The 18,317-nt window shown below is 54.4% G+C and overlaps 1 protein-coding gene across 12 annotated transcripts in view, besides 4 other annotated features; it reads left to right on the top strand.

Moving 5' to 3' along the window:
* The window catches only part of USP6 (ubiquitin specific peptidase 6), a 58,960-nt gene that overhangs the window by 7,888 nt on the left and 32,755 nt on the right, over positions 1 to 18,317 (top strand). For 6 of the 12 annotated variants that reach the window (XM_011524059.3, XM_011524058.3, XM_011524053.3 and 3 more), the window contains 19 exons: positions 647 to 1,353; positions 3,585 to 3,720; positions 5,033 to 5,214; positions 6,017 to 6,170; positions 6,448 to 6,520; positions 6,683 to 6,765; positions 8,477 to 8,516; positions 8,991 to 9,071; positions 9,524 to 9,631; positions 9,968 to 10,077; positions 11,315 to 11,363; positions 11,889 to 12,009; positions 12,721 to 12,815; positions 13,202 to 13,267; positions 13,732 to 13,831; positions 14,202 to 14,354; positions 15,336 to 15,755; positions 17,506 to 17,580; positions 18,084 to 18,222. In XM_011524059.3, the coding sequence (XP_011522361.1) occupies positions 6,449 to 6,520; positions 6,683 to 6,765; positions 8,477 to 8,516; positions 8,991 to 9,071; positions 9,524 to 9,631; positions 9,968 to 10,077; positions 11,315 to 11,363; positions 11,889 to 12,009; positions 12,721 to 12,815; positions 13,202 to 13,267; positions 13,732 to 13,831; positions 14,202 to 14,354; positions 15,336 to 15,755; positions 17,506 to 17,580; positions 18,084 to 18,222 (1,712 nt within the window). In that variant the 5' untranslated portion in view covers positions 647 to 1,353; positions 3,585 to 3,720; positions 5,033 to 5,214; positions 6,017 to 6,170; position 6,448. Of the gene's footprint in view, positions 1 to 646; positions 1,354 to 1,901; positions 2,020 to 3,584; positions 3,721 to 4,889; positions 6,171 to 6,447; positions 6,521 to 6,682; positions 6,766 to 8,476; positions 8,517 to 8,990; positions 9,072 to 9,523; positions 9,632 to 9,967; positions 10,078 to 11,314; positions 11,364 to 11,888; positions 12,010 to 12,720; positions 12,816 to 13,201; positions 13,268 to 13,731; positions 13,832 to 14,201; positions 14,355 to 15,335; positions 15,756 to 17,505; positions 17,581 to 18,083; positions 18,223 to 18,317 lie in introns of those variants that run through there. The other 6 variants (NM_001304284.2, XM_011524050.2, XM_011524055.3 and 3 more) reach the window with 6 other exon arrangements.
* Positions 6,590 to 7,090: an enhancer, noted in NCBI's record as "H3K4me1 hESC enhancer chr17:5033804-5034304 (GRCh37/hg19 assembly coordinates)". NCBI's record gives its function as "activates a minimal SCP1, AML or CMV promoter by ChIP-STARR-seq in naive and primed H9 embryonic stem cells {active_cell/tissue: H9 hESC(naive and primed)}" and the evidence as "EXISTENCE:reporter gene assay evidence [ECO:0000049][PMID:30033119]".
* Positions 12,916 to 13,587: an enhancer, noted in NCBI's record as "H3K4me1 hESC enhancer chr17:5040130-5040801 (GRCh37/hg19 assembly coordinates)". NCBI's record gives its function as "activates a minimal SCP1, AML or CMV promoter by ChIP-STARR-seq in primed H9 embryonic stem cells {active_cell/tissue: H9 hESC(primed)}" and the evidence as "EXISTENCE:reporter gene assay evidence [ECO:0000049][PMID:30033119]".
* Positions 13,588 to 14,258: an enhancer, noted in NCBI's record as "H3K4me1 hESC enhancer chr17:5040802-5041472 (GRCh37/hg19 assembly coordinates)". NCBI's record gives its function as "activates a minimal SCP1, AML or CMV promoter by ChIP-STARR-seq in naive and primed H9 embryonic stem cells {active_cell/tissue: H9 hESC(naive and primed)}" and the evidence as "EXISTENCE:reporter gene assay evidence [ECO:0000049][PMID:30033119]".
* Positions 14,931 to 15,601: an enhancer, noted in NCBI's record as "H3K4me1 hESC enhancer chr17:5042145-5042815 (GRCh37/hg19 assembly coordinates)". NCBI's record gives its function as "activates a minimal SCP1, AML or CMV promoter by ChIP-STARR-seq in naive H9 embryonic stem cells {active_cell/tissue: H9 hESC(naive)}" and the evidence as "EXISTENCE:reporter gene assay evidence [ECO:0000049][PMID:30033119]".

Here is an 18,317-nt window from a genome sequence, read left to right on the forward strand (position 1 = left end):
CACACACACACACACACACGTGATCAAGGGCACCCAGGGCAGAATCTTCCATACCCCTAACAAGGACCCCTAACAAGACGCACAAACACGCACCCATAGAAGTAATCAGGGGACCCTACCAGGACACGGAGTCACACTCCTAGGCATGTGTGGACAGGCTGCCTACCCACGGGCAGGACATGGACATGCTCAACTATACGAGGACACTGCAGGCACAGTCTGTGCACACATACTCTCAGGTCACATAAACACAGCACTCTGTAACCTCGAGTCAGTCCCTCACTTGGTCAGTGAGTGGGCTGAAGCACCCACTGGGACAGGGTGGCTGAGAACCAGGACAGGGCCTGGGAAGTGAGTGATGCAATGAGGTTGGGCGGTACCACCCCCCACCCAACCACCCAGTCCAGGCTTCCCACATAATCGGGTCACTAAACAAATCCCAGAGGGCCCAGCCCCAGCTGTTGCCTGGCTTTCCAGAAACAGAACTCGGTTGGGAATGGCAGCTGCTTGGACAGGTCTGTCCCCAGAAAGCCCTGGGCATGGATGGATTCCTGTCTACCCTCTGGTTTCCACTGACACATTTATCTACCAACATTTTGTCCAAGTCTCCTCTTCTGAGCCCTCACCAGAATCACCCTTAATGAAGAGTCACAGGGAGAAGACGTCCACCCACACATCAGGAGACAGGCCTGGAACAGAGCCTTCCTGCACAGCCTCAGAAGGGACCCACCCTGGTGACACCTTGATCTTGGACTGACACTCATGACCTCCAGTACTGTGAGACAGTAACATTCTGTTGTTGAAGGTGCCCAGTCTGTGGTACTGTAAAACAGCCCTGGGAAACTAACGCAGCCTGTTAGCCCACAGATGGTGAAGGGATGGAATGCTCCACGGAGCTCCAGGCTTACTATCTACAGCCCCCAAAGTGTGCTGCGGGACCCTTGGGTGGGTGTAGGTATGCAAGGTAATTTTGGGTGGTTCAAGGTGAATAATTTCAATTGACATAATAATGTATTTATCTTGCTGGGTAAATGAGGGATACCCAACTGTTAGGAACCAGGCAACACAGCAGGAGGTGAGCAGCCAGCCAGTGAGCAAAGCTTCATCTGTAGAAACAGCCACTTCCCATCCCTCGCATTACCGCATGAGCTCTGCCTCCTGTCAGATGAGCGGTGCCGTTAGATTCTCACAGAAGCATGAACCCTACTGTGAACTGCGCATGCCAGGGATCTAGATTGCGTGCTCCTTATGAGAACCTAATGCCTGATGATCTGTGACTGTCTCATCACTGCCAGATGGAACCACGTAGTTGCAGGAAAACAAGTTCAGGGCTCCCACTGATTCTACATTATGGTGAGTTGTGTAATTATTTCATTATATATTACAGTAAAATAATAATAGAAATAAAGCACACAATAAATGTAATGGGCTTGAATCATCTCCATATCATCCCTTCCCCTTCTCCCGGGTCCGTGGAAGAGTTGTCTTCAAGAAAACTGGTCTCGGGTAGCAAAAAGGTTGGGAACCACTGGTGTAAATGCTTTAAGGAATAGTTAAGCAGCTTAAAGTTTACATGCTACAAAAAATACAGGTTTAAATGCTAATAAAAATGGGTGCAAATGAAAACACTCTCTTGCTGTGGTCCAAGGAATCTTAGGCATTCTATCAGAAAGACTTACAGCTTGGAGTTGCAGCTGCCCTCCCACATCCTGTCCACTGTAACCCTTGCAACACACAAACACGCACACACACGCACATGCACACACACACACACACACACACACACACACACACACACACACACTGTGTTTCATGCCCTCACTAGGGTGGCCTGGGAGGGAATGCGTGGGTTTTTTTTGTTTTTTGTTTTTTTGAGATGGAATTTCACTCTTGTTGCCTAGGCTGGAGTGCAATGGCGCAATCTCGGCTCTCTGCAACTTCCGCCTCCTGGGTTCAAGCAATTCTCCTGCCTCAGCCTCCCGAGTAGCTGGGACTACAGGCATGTGCCACCATGCCTGGGTAATTCTGTATTTTTAGTAGGGATGGGGTTTCTCCATGTTGGTCAGGCTGGTCTCGAACTCCCGATCTCAGGTGATCCGCCCGCCTCAGCCTTCTAAAGTGCTGGGATTACAGGCGTGAGTCACCGCGCCCAGCCGGGAATGCATGCTTTTAGGAGAAACGAAGACAACTCAGGACCCTCATTCTCCTGGTGTTTGCGCAAGTGCCTTCTCCGTAGACCATGCTTCAGTCTCTTTCTTAGTTCTCCTTCTTACTGAAAGAGAGAAGCAGAGCCCCAGCATGTACCCAGCTGCTTAGGGCCCAAGCCAAGTGCGCAAGTTTCCTGGGGAGCCTAGTGAGTGGAAGGCACTGCAGATCCTCCCCAAAAGAGGCGTCGGTTTTTTATGGATCCTTGAGCCCAGGAAGGCAATAGACAAGACATCACGGTTCACCAGAAGAGACAACAAAAATGTAGTGAGGAAGGGCTGTAGTCAAAGGTTTTATGCTCCATGAGAAGGGATTCTCAGGGCTCTAAGCAGCAGGCAGAAGACTTTATTGTATGTGTGGTTAGGTGACGGTGACCTACAGTTTTCACTGGGAACTGGGATCAAGAGTAACTCGACCTCCTACTCATGCACGTCTCTCTCTGTCTCTTTGCGTTTTGTGTCTCTCTCCCCATCTCTCGCCCTCCTTATCCTCTCAGCCTCCTCTGTCTCTCTCCCAATTTCTCTTCCTCTCTCTCATTCCCTTCTCCTCATCTCTCTTTCTCTCTCCTTTTCCAGTTCTCTCTCTCTCCTCATCTCGCTTCATGCCACTGTTCAGGCTCCTGGGGCTCCACGTGGACGGCTGGACACAGGACTCCTAGGCTAATTTTCACGGCACAAGCACAGGGCTGCAGGACCTTGGTCCCCCACCTCCCAGCACCCTCAAAGTGAGAGGTGTGGGGTGTGCCCATGCTCTCCTGGGTGGGCGCCCCACGCTCCAGGAAGCAGAAACTGCAGGACAAAGCTGGCGCAAGTGACATGCCCACGTGGCTGCCAGCTTCCATCTTGGGATCTGCTAAGGCCAAAGCAGAGGACACCTGCCCACGACTGACCCCGCACCAGGGTGGGGGGAGGGGTGGGTTTGGGGTGGGAATGGGGATGGGAGCCGCCACTGCAAAGCAGTCCCTGGCTGGCTTCCTGCCCTGCACCCAGTCATGCAAGGCCTCCCGTCCCACCCCTGCCCCTCATCACCTCCACCCCTAGGCTGTCCAGATCCAGGCTCCAGAAGTCTCCCAGGATCCAAGAACTAAGGGCAACCACTGGGCTCCGCCGCCCCTAGTCCATGAGTCAGCCACCCCTCTGCAGGCTGACAAACCTTGGCTGTCACTTATCTTCCGCCCCAAACCAGCCCCAGCCCCATCCTGCTGCAGGTCTGTGTGGCTGCTGGAGAGGCTGGGCTCCTTTCCTCACCCCGAGGCTGCCTAATATGCTTTCTGGATCCTGGAGAAAACTGACCCACTATTCTCATACTGGTGCAACTTCTTCCAAGACCTCAAAACTGGACAACGTGAACTTGTCTTGTTTCTTGTCTCTTCTTGCTAGGGCTGTCATTGGGACAGTCTGAGATGGGGAGTCGGGGGAGACAATGGATGAATGGATGGATGAATGGACAGCAGTCCAGGGAGATGTCCCTGTGTGTCCTGAACTGGGCCCTTCCTCCAGTGAGAAGCCTTCCTGAGTGAGTTTATATAGTCATCCCTTGGTATCCATGGAGGATTAGTTCTAGGGTCCCCGGGGATGCCAAAATCCATGGATGCTCAAGTCGCTGACATAACATGACCTAGTATTTACATATAAGCTATGCACATTCTCCCGTATACATTAGACCATCTCTAGATTATTCATTATGTGTAATACAATGCAGATGCTATATAAATGGTTGTGATACTGTATTTAGGGAATGATGACAAGAACAACGTCTGCACATGTTCAGTAGAGACAACCATCCGATTTGTTTTCTGAATATTTTCCATCTGCTGTTGGCTGAATCCACAGTTGCAGAGCTCCCAGATACGAGGGCCAAGTGCTTTGAGAGTAGGGTGGGTGAGGTTGCTAATGAGTACAGGGGAGCAGGTGTTGATCAGGGGGACCCTGCACTGGGCATCTGGACGCCCTGTCTCAGGACTTGAGACTCCGTTTGGATGGCACAGGCAGACTAAGCCCAGGTCAAAGCCCTCCCCTTGGATGTTCATTTTATCCCAAGCTCTTTCTGGACCCTGGAATTTGGCATCCCCTAGGCCCTGGGTGGGACAGCTGAGCCAGGTTTTAGATAACATGTCTAGAAAAGTGGGCCCCTACTGTGTGCCTGGCACTTTCCGCACATGATCCTCTAGCTAGAATATCCAAGGGTCATGGAGAGAAATACCCAGTTAAAATATCAGAAATGAAAAAGTGATACCATTAGAGACACTAAAAAGACGATTAGAGATACTAAAAATACCATTAAGTAATAGTATTAGCTTTTGTATTCTGAGATTCAACAGCAGCAGTCACTTCCCTCCACTCCTATGTGTATCCCAGGACCACCCTGGGCGGGGAGGGCTGAGGTCAGGGAGGTCTGAAGCTGGTCCTGGGCTCCGGGGGTGACAGTGATGAGGAACTGGGTGCACACATGAGTGGGGCAGCCGGGCCTGGCCAGAGAAGCAACACACACGTGCACAGACATGTTTATCCACATACACATGTGCACGCATGTGCACAAACACATTGCAGGCAGGCATGTTGACGCCTCAGGCAGCGGAGGACCCTGACTCTGGGCCCTGCTGACCCAGGCAAGGCCCCATTGTGATGCGTGCCATGACCTCAGAATGTCACTGGTGCTTAGCACCTATCCGCTCTCCAGACTGCGTCTGTGTTCTACGGCAGTTACACACACGCAGTGGTATTCACAAGCGGTTTTGTGGACTCAAAGGTTTTCTCCCTGAGAGGCATAACCCAGGCCAGCTGATTCATCAGAATCAGGTGAGTGTGACCTGCTCTCTTCCCTCCAGGCTGACTTGGGGACAGTGGCTATGGTATGGGCGGTGTTGGCCTCTGGGCAGCTACAGAGGAGGGTCATCCCTGAGCACTCACCGGGCGCCCGTTCTACACTGCCCATGTAGACGATTTTCTCTTTCGTCTTCATGGTGGCTTCGTAGAGTGGGTGCTGTTCCCGAATGTACCCATTCGACAGGTGAGCCGTCTGGGGTCAGAGAGGCAGTAACTGGCCTGGGAATCCAGACAAGACCCTGGGTTTTGCTCTCAGCCCTGCTGTGTGCCATGCTAGACTTCAGGCCTCAACCCTGAGACCTCCCTGCTCTAGATCCCAAATCTGCCCAGATTTCCGATCCCAATGGGGCAGAGCCTGGCCCTGGCAGAGACACTGGGATGGATCCACTGTGGGTGGGGAGGAGGGAAGGGTCCTCAGAACACACCTGGGGCCTAAGCTGGGTCTTGATGGTCACTGTGGGACCCACTGGACACACACAGTCCCTTGTCTGGGAGTGGCATGGGGAGCCTTCTGCCCTTGGGCAGTTGTGGAAAGTGAAGGAGCCCTGGAGAGCTGGCTGAGGGGAGACTATCTTCCCTTGTGTTCAAAGGGGTCCAGGCACTGGGGCTCTCCCCAAGTATTTCTTATTCTGTCTGGCCTCGCTTTCCTTTTGCCCTGAGTATTCTCAGGAGGGACGGTCCATCTAGATGTCCTCCAGGAGCAAGGACCCACTGTTCTTCATCAGTGACCCAGGAAAATGAAGCCCCCTCCTGTGGGGACAGCTCAGAATGGTGGAGTCCACAGTCCCTCCCTGAGAGACATGGTTTCCATGAGCACAGTGGCTGCTTTGGAGACAGTAATCATTTTCATCCCCAAAACCAAACACACTCCTGCTCAAATGGTGTTATTGCTAAAGCAGCTTCACTGGTTAGACTGAAGGGCCATGGTAGCCCAAGTGATGAGCGGGGTAGAATGGAGCAGTCAGGAGAGATCTTGTTCCCCGTAGGAAACTGGGCATCTCTGTGGCCCTGAACATCCCAGGAGGCCGATCGTACAGAGACCTCTGGTGCCTGACCGCAGTTCACATCCACATCCCTGGAATAGACCATCACAGGCTCTTCACCCTTGGCAGGTGGACACCATTCAACCTGCCGGGGCAGGTGTGTGCCCATTTCATGGCATATGGGGACAACCGGATTCTCTGTCCAGGTCCCACTCTTCTCGAGTCCTTGGGAAGATGCCCACCCCTGCTTGGGGCTTCAGACTGCAGAGACCCATGGAGGTGTGGGCCATGGGGTTTGGCCCCTTTTTACCGGAGTGCAGTGGTGGAATGAAGGTTATACAACCAGCCAGCATCTGGGAGCCCGGTGGGAGCGGTTCAGGTGTTCTCCGAAGCTGTCGGGTACAGTGTAACCTTTAGACAATTTTGTCTCACAGGATGGACATGGTAGAGAATGCAGATAGTTTGCAGGCACAGGAGCGGAAGGACATACTTATGAAGTATGACAAGGTACAGTTCGGTCTGCTCCTTGGAGGGAGGCCTCTTCCAGTGCGCCCTGGTCAAAGGGTCCTGGGTTCCCTAGGAGCACAGGGCAGGGACGGGTGGCCAATACCCCCAGGCCCTTGCACCCTTTACCTTGGACCCCTCACCAAGGCTCCCTCTGGGTTACAGGGACACCGAGCTGGGCTGCCAGAGGACAAGGGGCCTGAGCCCGTTGGAATCAACAGCAGCATTGATCGTTTTGGCATTTTGCAGTGAGTCATCCTCTATGCTCCCCTCACCCCTAAAGCAGCTGTCTCAGCTCAGGGATGGGTTTGCTTTTAGAAAGGCCTTTCTGATGCAGGACATGTCTCGCTAGGTCGGGCCAACCTCTTTTCCAGGGTCAGAACTCCTCCCTGGCTCCCCTGCAGGTCCAGCCCGAGGTTGTTGTTAGGCCAGAGGTGGAAGGCCCAACTAGGGAGCTGGTGGGAATGGAGACTGGGCTAGGCCAGGCCCCTGGGCTCTCAGCAGTTCTGTCGGCAAGTGAGCACAAGAGGAGCGGGGCAGCCTGAGGTTCTGGTCCTGTCTACCAGGAGACAACCCCAGTGAGATCCAAGGGTTGTGGCCACAGGGTGAGGAGACACCTGGCCCAGTCTCAGGGCTGTTGTCCAGCAGGTCTCTCAGAGCCCACCGGCCCCTGTCCTCCTCCATTTCCCTAGAGCTACAGCCCTCACTGTCCCCATGGGGAAGGGGGAAAGGTGTGGGGACAGTGGGGGCTTTGGCCCGAAGAGAATGGGGGAGAAGATGGGCAGGGCCCCGCTCTGGGCATCTCACAGTGAGACTAGGGAGGCAGCAGGGCTTGTGACTAAAGACCCTGGGTCTGGTGCTGGGAAGGGATCTGGGGCCAGGTAAGAGGAGCCCAGCCTGGAGCCCAACCCTCAGGGATCATAGGATGGAGAGACAGCGGATGCCGGGCAAGATAAGGTGGGAGGGAGCTTATGAGGCGTGCCACTTCTGAAACACAGGGTGTGTGGCTCGGGTATAGGGAGAGGCAGGTGGATGCTTGGCCAGCCTCAGGGCTGTTGTCCAGCAGGTCTCTGAGGGCCCACCTACCCCTGTTCTCCCCCATGTCCTTATATCTACAGCCCTCAGTGTCCCCATGGGGAAGGGGGAAAGGCATGGGGACAGTGGGAGTTGTGGCCCTAGGGGAATGGGGGAGAAGATGGGCAGGGCCCCATTCTGGGCCTCTCACGGTGAGGCCAGGGAGGCAGCAGGGCTTGTGACTAAAGACCCTGGGTCTGGTGCTGGGAAGGGATCTGGGGCCAGGTAAGAGGAGCCCAGCCAGGAGCCCATCCCTCAGGGATCATAGGATGGAGAGACAGAGGATCCCAGGGGAGGTAGGGTGGGAGGGAGCTGATGAGCCGTGCCACTTCTGAAATGCAGGGTGTGTGGCTCAGATGCAGGGAGAGGCAGGTGGATGCTGAGACGTCAGAACCTGCAAGAGCCTTGGGGCTGTCAAGTGGGATGGGCCCTTAGTGCACCCAGAGTATACCGGGAAGGTCTCAGGGCAGGCTTCCTTGACCCTGGCGGGGTGATGTGGTCACTCCCTGAGGGACTCCTGTCAGGGCCCGGTCGCCCATGCTGGGTGGCCCCCATCCCATCTCAGGGCTAACCTTTCTCAGCTCCAGCAGAAAGCACCACCTCAAGTCCAGGATGGGCAGCCCCACTGTGGCCTGACCACCCCCCATGCCAGGGGCCCCAGTAACCCCAGCCAGGCTGTCCCTGCACTCCTTCTTCTCCCAGGTCCTGCCCCTCCTGGGAGTCAGAGCCACAGGAAGGCCCTTGTCCTCCCTTCCCTGTGCCTTCTCCCGGGCTGAGCCCTGAGCTGGATAGGGACAGAGCCAGTCCTTTCTGGGGGTCGGCTCCCAGGCTTGGGCGGCTCCAGGCCCTGTGCACGTCCTCAGCTCTGCCTGGGTTGCCTTACAGTGAGACGGAGCTGCCTCCTGTGACTGCACGGGAGGCGAAGGTAAGAGCCTGATGCGTGGAGGGGCTGGTCCAGGGACGTAGGGACTGGGCGGGTGGTCAGTGAGGCAGAGGAAGCAGCTGGCCTGGGCGGTGGCGGGTGAGGGCAACACGCTGTCACTGGGAGGGGCAGCAGAGACCTGACCCCAAGTTGCTGTAACTTTGGCAGTTTGATAAAATTCCAAAGTGAGAACCACAGTCCTGGCTTGGGGGGTGGCTGCGCGCTTGTGTCAGGACCCCACCTAGAGGCTGGGACCTAAGACTGGTGTGTCTGTGGCCTGAGGATGGCATGTCCCGGGGTCCCAAAGCCAGCCCATTGGTGCTCATTTGCTCAAAGGCTCTCAGCCCTTAGGGTCTGCCCTTCCCTGGCTCCTTCCAGTTGGGTCCCACCAGGGCTCCAGAGCCCAAGACTCAGCATCCATGGGCGGCTCTGGGAAGCCTGGCAGCTCCACTAACTCCAACATGCCTCATTTGACAGAAAATTCGGCGGGAGATGACACGAACGAGCAAGTGGATGGAAATGCTGGGAGAATGGGAGACATATAAGCACAGTAGCAAAGTAATGTGTGGAGGGAGAGGCCCCTGGAAGCACTCTCTGCAGAAACAGGGGACAGGCACCCATGGCTGTGGCCTGGCACCGTCAGCCTCTCAGAGGGCGGGTGGCACACTGTCCTCGCCCAGAGGACTGCAGGCCTGGTCACCAGATTGCCTGCCTATTCGTGCAAGTGTCACCTTGCTGGGAGGGAATCTGAATCTAGGGCTGGGACCACCCAGAGCTCAAGGCTAGGGATGCCCTGGTGACCCGAAGGAAGGAAAAGGTTCGGATCAGAGTTTAGACTCTGAGTGTCCATCCACTCTTTCAGTCCTGGGAAGGGAGACCCTGTCCCAGCTTGATCTCGCCTCTACTGAGGAATCATGGGGCCAAAACTGACAATTTCCAGAATCCCCAGGCTCTGGTCCTCACTGGGGTCACCCCATGGCCTGTGACACCAGATTCTTTTCTGCCCACAGCTCATAGATCGAGTGTACAAGGGAATTCCCATGAACATCCGGGGCCCGGTGTGGTCAGTCCTCCTGAACATTCAGGAAATCAAGTTGAAAAACCCCGGAAGATACCAGGTATGCTCAGCCAGAGCACAACAAACAGGACAGGCCGTGTCAGGGGCCCAGGTCTCCAGCTGGAGGGAACGTCAAGCCCACCCTGGGGTGGGGGGGTGGGAGGGGATGGTTAGATGCACATCCTGGGCATGGACGGTGACACAGTCACCACAGACAAACTCGGCTGTGGTGACCCTCCCTGGCCTCAGTAGCAAGCCAAAAAGCAGCTTTCTGCAGAAGGAAACCTTCCTTCTTTCCTTCCTTCCCGAAGTGCTGACTGTGGGCTGACTGCCATTTGGGGCAGGGAGTCTTCCATCTGTTCTGAGGCTGCTTCCTCCTCTTGGCCCTGCCCTACAGATCATGAAGGAGAGGGGCAAGAGGTCATCTGAACACATCCACCACATCGACCTGGACGTGAGGACGACTCTCCGGAACCATGTCTTCTTTAGGGATCGATATGGAGCCAAGTAAGCCTACGGGAGCCACACAGTCCCAGCAGAGATGGGGTGAACGAGAGGGATGGGGACTTCCCCGGAGCAGAAGCCAGGGTCACCCAGGAGGGATGACAGAGCTGCCAAGAGCTCTCCTGGCCCAGGGAGCAGCCGGCACCATGAACCGAGCACCTCCCTGGTTCCAAGCCCTGGGCCAGGCTGGAACATGTGGGGCCAGAACCCAGGAGGATCCTGAGGAGACAGAAAACAGCAAAGAAAATCACACGCAATGGTGAAAGGTGCTCTCCCTGACCCACGGAGACCCATGGTAGGACCCACAGGAGGGTGGCAGGATGGAGGGCCCATGAGCCTCCCCAGGCAACACAGCACCAAATGCTGGGAGAATTAGGGGTCCTGGAAACTGTCATCCAGGTCTGCTGGGAACATGACATGGCACAGCCACATTGGCAGCCAGTTGGGCAGTGGCTCACAAAGCTCAGTGGACTTGAACCACACATCCCCATGGTGTCACAGATATTGAACCCACTGATTTGAAAACTGACATCCACATGAAACCTGCATGCCAGGTTCACTGCTTGATTCCTCATCACTCACACATGGAGCCTTCGGGGATGGCCTTCAACACGGGAATGGGGAGAGACAGGCTGGTCCTCCCTTCAAACGGAAGACCCAGTGAGAAAAGGGAACGAGCCAGTGATGCCTGCACGAACGTGGGTGGATCCTAGATGCATTTTGCTAAGGGAAAGAAGCCAGACCCAATAAGCTACCATAGTAGGATTCCCATTCCTAGGCCATTCTGGAAAAGGCCAAACCATAGGGACTGAGCAGCAGTCTGGGTGGCCAGGGGCTGACGGATCGGGGAGAGGCTGGGTGCATAGGGGAAACCCTGGAGATTTGGAAGATGATGGAGTCGCTCCAGGAGGGGCTGGAGCGGTGGCCGGGAGACTGCACATTGGTTTGGAACCATGGAGGAACTGTGCACCCAAAGACTGAACTGGTGTGTGTGCAAAAGAAAAAAAAAATCATTCAGCGTGAAAAGGATCGGTCAACTCACTGTAGAACTGGGCTATTTGCATGTCACAGATGTGGATTTTACTGAAACATTTCTTCAACAGTCTCAGGCCCTGAAGAGCTCACTGCTTATCTGGTGAATCATCTGAACCTGAAATGGGATTTGTTAGGATTTGTAGACAAAGTGAAACTAACAGCATCTGCACAAACCAAACCATAGCCCCCTTTCTGTGTTTCCTAGGCAGAGGGAACTATTCTACATCCTCCTGGCCTATTCGGAGTATAACCCGGTGAGTATTCCCGGCAGTGAGGTTCCCAGGCTGTATTTCCATATTCACAGGAGTGGGTGTCTGGTGGGGGTGTCGTTGCTTCTTTTAAAGTTGGTATTTGTGACTCACCAGGATATAGGAGGTAGGATTCTAGGTCACCGCTGGCATAAACCTCCAAGCAAGGGGGTGGTCTCAAGGGGTCAAGCTGAGACACAAAGGACTTGGGGCCTGGACTCCTGGTGTCACCTGGGCCTGACCACCACTTCTCAGAACAAGAAATGACGCCCTCCTCCTGGGGCTGCTCCAAAGCAAAGGAGCTTGGCAGTGTCACACGCAGGACGGTGCTCTCAGGAGACATTTTGGACAAGGTGCTGAAGTGCCTGATGGACTTTGCTCTTGTCATGAAATGAATTTGCATCCTGAGGAAGCCTCTTCTTCAGAGGAAGCCTCCCCAGTCACCTCTGCCCTCTCCAATGACATGAGTCCTCCCAGGTGACCTCAGCCCTCCCAGGTGATGTCCTTCCATGGTGACTCTGGCTCTTGCAGGAGGTGGGCTACTGCAGGGACCTGAGCCACATCACCGCCTTGTTCCTCCTTTATCTGCCTGAGGAGGACGCATTCTGGGCACTGGTGCAGCTGCTGGCCAGTGAGAGGCACTCCCTGCCAGGTAGGTGAACAGCTGCCCGTGGGGCCTCACGCAGCCAGACCCGGGAAAGCCACTGTGGCCAGGTGATCTCGGCTTTCAGCCAAGGCACACTCCTTGTGTTGCCAGCTTGTTGGGAGCATTTAGGACGTCTCTGCTGAGGGTCCCACAGGAGTCCGCAGCTGACCCCCACAACCCAAGTCAGATGCCTTTCATCCCCATCAGCAGAGGGCATCTCATCCTCCCCATGGCCACCCTCTGTGTCCTGGAGCCACATCCTCCGGCTCTGATTCTGTTCAGCTGACTCTCCCCTCCCTGAGGGTCCTCCTGCCCTCCAGCTGCCTGGGCTCCTGCTGCCCTTGGTGCCCACAAATGGGCTGACCAAGCCCAGGTGGCAGCATCTCACCATCCCGTGTCCCCTGGCCCGACCCCACTTCCAGGAGATGACCAGGAAGCTCAGCACCCACCCTGTTCTGGCCGCTCTGTTGTGGCCTCAAAGTCAGGCTTGCCCTTTTGCACCCTGGCCCAGGAGGCTTCCAGGGGAACCTCCAGCCAGGCTCCAGGGGATGTTCCTGTCCCACCTCCCCAGGGCAAAGGCCGCATGGTAGGGTCACCAGATGGGAGGGCGGGAGGCCTTGGGGTTTGGGGGCCTCTGCAGCTGCCCAGCTCTTTCAGCTGATGGCTCCACACCTTGGGGGAAGGCTCTGATTTCATGATGGGCTGGGGGCTTCTCAGGATTCCACAGCCCAAATGGTGGGACAGTCCAGGGGCTCCAAGACCAACAGGAGCATGTGGTACCCAAGTCACAACCCAAGACCATGTGGCATCAGGTGAGTTTATGGTCCCCTCGGCTCTTCTCAGAGGCCCTGCCTCCTGTGGGGCTGTAGGAGCAGGGGGACTGGAGTCCCTTGTGGGACTGGTGACTGGCGGAGTCCCAGCTAGGGCCTGACCTGGGACGTCGGGTTCTCCATGGGCTGGGAGTTGGTTTCCTTTCATGCCCTGGAGGAGACAGAGGCACAGGGATGGGGGCCCAGCTCCTGCAGAGCAGGGCAAAGGGCAGTGTGTCCACCGGGAGTGTGGGAAGGGGACAGTGTTGTGGGGAGTTCTGGACACCGCCCAGTGTTCTGCACTAGGGGAAAGGTCTTCAGAGGCCCTGGAAGATGGAGGTTTTTAGGGCAGCCCAGGGGGCCCTGAGCACCTCTGTTCATCCCATCAGGACAAGGAAGGTCTATGCGGGCAGTGTGCCTCGTTAGGCTGCCTTCTCCGGAACCTGATTGACGGGGTAAGGAGGCATAGGGAGACCCTGGCTCAGGGACCCTCCTTGCCCTGCAGTGCCGTGCTTCCCCAGCCCGGGGGTCTGGCTCACTCCCAGCCCACAGGAGGCTCAGGCGGGTCCCCGAAGGACACACAAGCAAAACCCTCTGCCCAAGAGGGGTCATCCCAGGGCAATGGCTGGGACTCAGGTCCAGCCTCATGGGCAGACTGGGTCAGGACCCAACTTGAGAGGGCTCAGGGAAGCCTCAAGCCCTGGGCAAGCCCCTCTCTCCAGGAGCCACATACCCACTCAAATGAGTACCCCCCCATGAGAAGTTGCAAGACCTTTTCTGACTCAGCATTCTGGAGGGCTCAGGTGACCCTCATGGGGAAGGTCACTGACTCTGGAGACTGAAGCCCCAGTGTGCGCAGCTCGAGCCACCAGCCCCAGCCTGGAAGGGCCAGGTTCTCTCATACCTGCTGTCCCCACAGATCTCTCTCGGGCTCACCCTGCGCCTGTGGGACGTGTATTTGGTGGAAGGAGAACAGGTGTTGATGCCAATAACCAGCATTGCTCTTAAGGTTCAGCAGAGTAAGTCTACGTGTGCCCAGTGGGGCCTGGGGAGCCCTGCAGTCAGACCCCGACTGGCCCAAGGGCAGCTTCCTCACACTGTCCTCATGATCCTCTGTTCTGGCCCAGAGGGAGGTCTGGCCAGGTGGGCTGGGCAGGGCACTGTGACACCGAGCCCATCCCCCACATGACCCAGATGAAAGTCGAGAGTGTGGTGAGCACTTCCCTGTCCAGATCACCCCCCAGCCACAGTCTCCTGTGTACATCTGGATGCCTGGGGTGGCCACAAAAGGATTCGGCACCGCCCAGTGGGAGACTGAAGTGGCCACAGGGTATGAGCTGTGACCATTCCCAGGGAACTCTCCTGGCCTGATATCCACCCTGTCCCTAGAGCGCCTCATGAAGACATCCAGGTGTGGCCTGTGGGCACGTCTGCGGAACCAATTCTTCGATACCTGGGCCATGAACGATGACACCGTGCTCAAGCATCTTAGGGCCTCTACGAAGAAACTAACAAGGAAGCAAGGGGACCTGCCACCCCCAGGTGGGCTCCAGTGCCATGTCCCCTCCCATGTCAGCCTCTGGGGCAGTCAATAGTGGGCGGGTGCCCCGGACCAGCAACCCTACTACCTGGGCCTTCCTCTTCACCTTTTCTTCCTCCTCTTCCTCCTGGACTCTAAGAAAGTACAGGAGGCCCACCGGTCCTCAGGGCAGGCACTCAGTGCGTGTATACTGGATGTGTTGTGCACGCAGGAGAGGGATGTGGGCAAGACCCTCCAACAAGCCCCCTCCCACTTTCCACGGTGTCTCGCTCTCTCCCTCACAGGGCCCTCAAAGTTACTAGATGAGCCAGACCCATTTGTGGGAGACCCCGCCCCTCCCTGCAAGCACCCACAGCCTCAGAGAGCAGCAGAGGCCCCTCACTCCTGCACGCTCCTCCAAGGTTGCCAGGACAACAAGCCTTGAGCAAGGGAGACAAGGGAATCGGGTGTCCCTGACCCACAGGGCATTCAGGGAGAGGGCACAGGCGGGACCCCGGGCCCAGAGCCAGAGCCAAGAATTCAGCCAGATGTGGGAACGGTCAGTCCTGGCATGGACTGGGCAGCCCAGGGGGGCAGAGGGTGACCCACGTCCGGGCCCAGTCACCCACTGCGGAGACAGGTCCCCATGTGAGGTGGCAAGGAGCTGGGTGACATCCAAGGCCCCTCCCACTTGAGTTCTGATGGGGGGCCATATCCCAGGCCCAACAGCCCTGGGACGAAGGTGTGTGGCAGGAAGCCCCCAGCCAGTCTGAACCCTGGGGGCAGTCCCAGGAGCCACCCACCATGCCCCAACGGCTTCCCCATGCCAGGCAGCACACACCCCTCCCTCTGGGATCAGCAGACTACAGGCGTGTCGTCAGTGTCAGACCACAGGGGCCACACAGAGACCCCAAGGACTCCAGAGATGCAGGCAGGTGGGGCCCAGCCCGGAAAGGCCTGCATGGGCTCACTGGAGATGCTGACCACGTCTGTTTTCCTTTCAGCCAAACGCGAGCAAGGGTCCTTGGCACCCAGGCCTGTGCCGGCTTCACGTGGTGGGAAGACCCTCTGCAAGGGGTATAGGCAGGCCCCTCCAGGCCCACCAGCCCAGTTCCAGCGGCCCATTTGCTCAGCTTCCCCGCCATGGGCATCTCGTTTTTCCACGCCCTGTCCTGGTGGGGCTGTCCGGGAAGACACGTACCCTGTGGGCACTCAGGGTGTGCCCAGCCTGGCCCTGGCTCAGGGAGGACCTCAGGGTTCCTGGAGATTCCTGGAGTGGAAGTCAATGCCCCGGCTCCCAACGGACCTGGATATAGGGGGCCCTTGGTTCCCCCATTATGATTTTGAATGGAGCTGCTGGGTCCGTGCCATATCCCAGGAGGACCAGCTGGCCACCTGCTGGCAGGCTGAACACTGCGGAGAGGGTGAGGTTGGCTTTCACTGCACTGAGCCACAATGTGGGCATGGACTTCCCGGCCCTGCAGTGCACCCAGCACTGATTCCGACCGGGATACCTCCTTTGCAGCTAGGGACGAGCAGCAGTGCGCTCCCACTTCAGGGCCTTGCCTCTGCCACCTCTACTTGGAAAGTTCTCAGTTCCCTCCAGGCTTCTAGAAGCATCTGGGCCAGGGCTCATGGCTGGATAATTTCCCGAGGCTTAACAATCCAAGCAGGCTTCGCATCCTTGTTTTATTTTTTGTTAAACTTATGAAAATTTATTAAGAAAGCGTGCAGCTTGAAAGACATGCACAGATGGAACACACCAGCCCCCAGATCACAAAGCCAACCATGCCCAGCCCCATCCCAGCACCCCCAGCCCCACGACCAGCGTTCTGAATTCTGACAACACCATGAGCCTGTCTTTAAACTCATGGAAGGATAACCACCTTCACGTTTTGAAATAAATGTTTCCTGTTGAAATGATTTTAGATATACAGAAATATTGTAAAGGCACTACAGTGTCCTCCTACACCTTCCATCCAGCTGCCCCTAATAATGACGTTTTGTAATAGCATGGCCCATAAAAAATTTAGGCCGGGTGTGGTGGCTCACACCTGTAATCCCAGCAATTTGAGAGGTCGAGGCGGGAGGTTCAGGTTCACTTGAGTCTAGAAGTCTGAGACCAGCCTGGGAAACATAGGTGGACCCTGTCTCTAGAGAAAAGTCAAAGAAATTAGCCAGGCATGGTGGCATGTGCCTATAGTCCCACCTAGTCAGGAGGCTGAGGCAGGAGGATTGCTGGAGCCCATGAGTTCCAAGAAGCAGTGAGCCATGATTGTACCACTGCACTCCAGCCTGGGTGACAGAGTGAGACAATATCTCTTAAAAAAAATTAAGAAATGTAATGGGAGTACAATCCTATTAACTAAATAATAATGTGAACTATTATCTAAGGTTATTAAGGCTATAATTGTCCCATTTTCGCCTAACTTCTCATACCTGTCCTAAGATCCCATCTTGGACTCACCCTCTGCCTTCAGCTCATGCCTCTTCAGCTTCCTGCAGATGGTCCAGTAAACACACACCTGGGCTGAATGGTAGAGCTGATTACTCATACACAAGGGTAGACCTGTGGGCAGGGATTTTCAAACTTATACAGTCAATGAGTTTTCCATGGTGTTCTGGAGAGCACCCTTTAAGAAACACTTTGACAGTGAATCTAGGCCTCAATATCCATCAGCTGCTCTAGCTTGAATTTCTTAAATTTTTTTAAGAGATAAAGTCTCACTCTGTCACCAAGGATGGAGTGCAGTGGTGCAATCATGGCTTACTGCAGTGGTCCCATAAGATTATAATACTGTATTTTTAGTTGTACCTTTTCTATGTTCTAACATGTTTAGGTACACAAATACTTACCATTGTGTTACAGTTGCCTACAGTGTTCAATACAGTAACATACTGTACAGGTTTGTAGCCAAGGAGCAACAGCCTATACCATACATAGCCTAGGTTTGTGTAGGTACACTCCGTGATGTTCATACAAAGACAAAATCACCTAATGATGCATTTCTCAGAATGTAACCTCATCATTAAGCAATGCATGTACTAAAATTAGCTAGATTTTAAAACTTCCGATTTAGGAATAAGATGTCTTTAAAAAAAAAAAACAGAAGCAATCAAGTGGGTGTAAATTAGACAGATAAGAAATTAACACATTCCTATCTGTCCTTCCAGTTCACAACAAAGATATGAGTTGGCCTGAGGAGATGTCTTTTACAGCAAATAGTAGTAAAATAGATAGACAAAAGGGTAAGTCTCCAGTATTATTTTTTAAAGAGATTATTTTAAATGTATTTTTTTTCTTCTTTCAACTATTAAAGTGCTAACAACTTTTGGTTTTCTAGTTCAAAAGTAATTAGGGCCCTTCTTTTTCTTTTTTCCTGAAGCAGCATTTGATGTTGGCAAACCCACCATCAAATTATTTTCTAAATTTCTTTCTAACTCTGCAATTTAATAATTTATATGTTTTAAAAGACATGCTAGAAGAATAATTGTTTGAATTATTTTGAAAAATCATAGCAATTAAAAAGAATAATTGCTGCTTCTGGGTTACAAATGAGCATGGATCATCACTGTTGCCAGACATACCATGAAAAGCCTTCTCTAGCATTTCAAAGACCTGCTAGAGAATTATTAGCACCATTTAGCTGATTATGAGAGTTATAAAAAATCTTTTCATTGAATATAAGTAACTGTTTGTGCCATGGCATATTACTACAGCTAAGCTTTGGTTCTCATATTGTTTGTTCCAGTTCCCACAGAAAAGGGAGCCACAGGTCTAAGCAACCTGGGAAACACATGCTTCATGAACTCAAGCATCCAGTGCGTTAGTAACACACAGCCACTGACACAGTATTTTATCTCAGGGAGACATCTTTATGAACTCAACAGGTAAACTTTCTTGAGTCACTGGCCTCTTAACCTGTGACTTTGATATAAACCCACTATCACCTAAATTTCCTCTTTTTTCACCCTGCGGGAGAAAG

Source organism: Homo sapiens, chromosome 17 (assembly GCF_000001405.40).
Source record: "Homo sapiens chromosome 17, GRCh38.p14 Primary Assembly".
Lineage (NCBI taxonomy): Eukaryota > Metazoa > Chordata > Mammalia > Primates > Hominidae > Homo > Homo sapiens.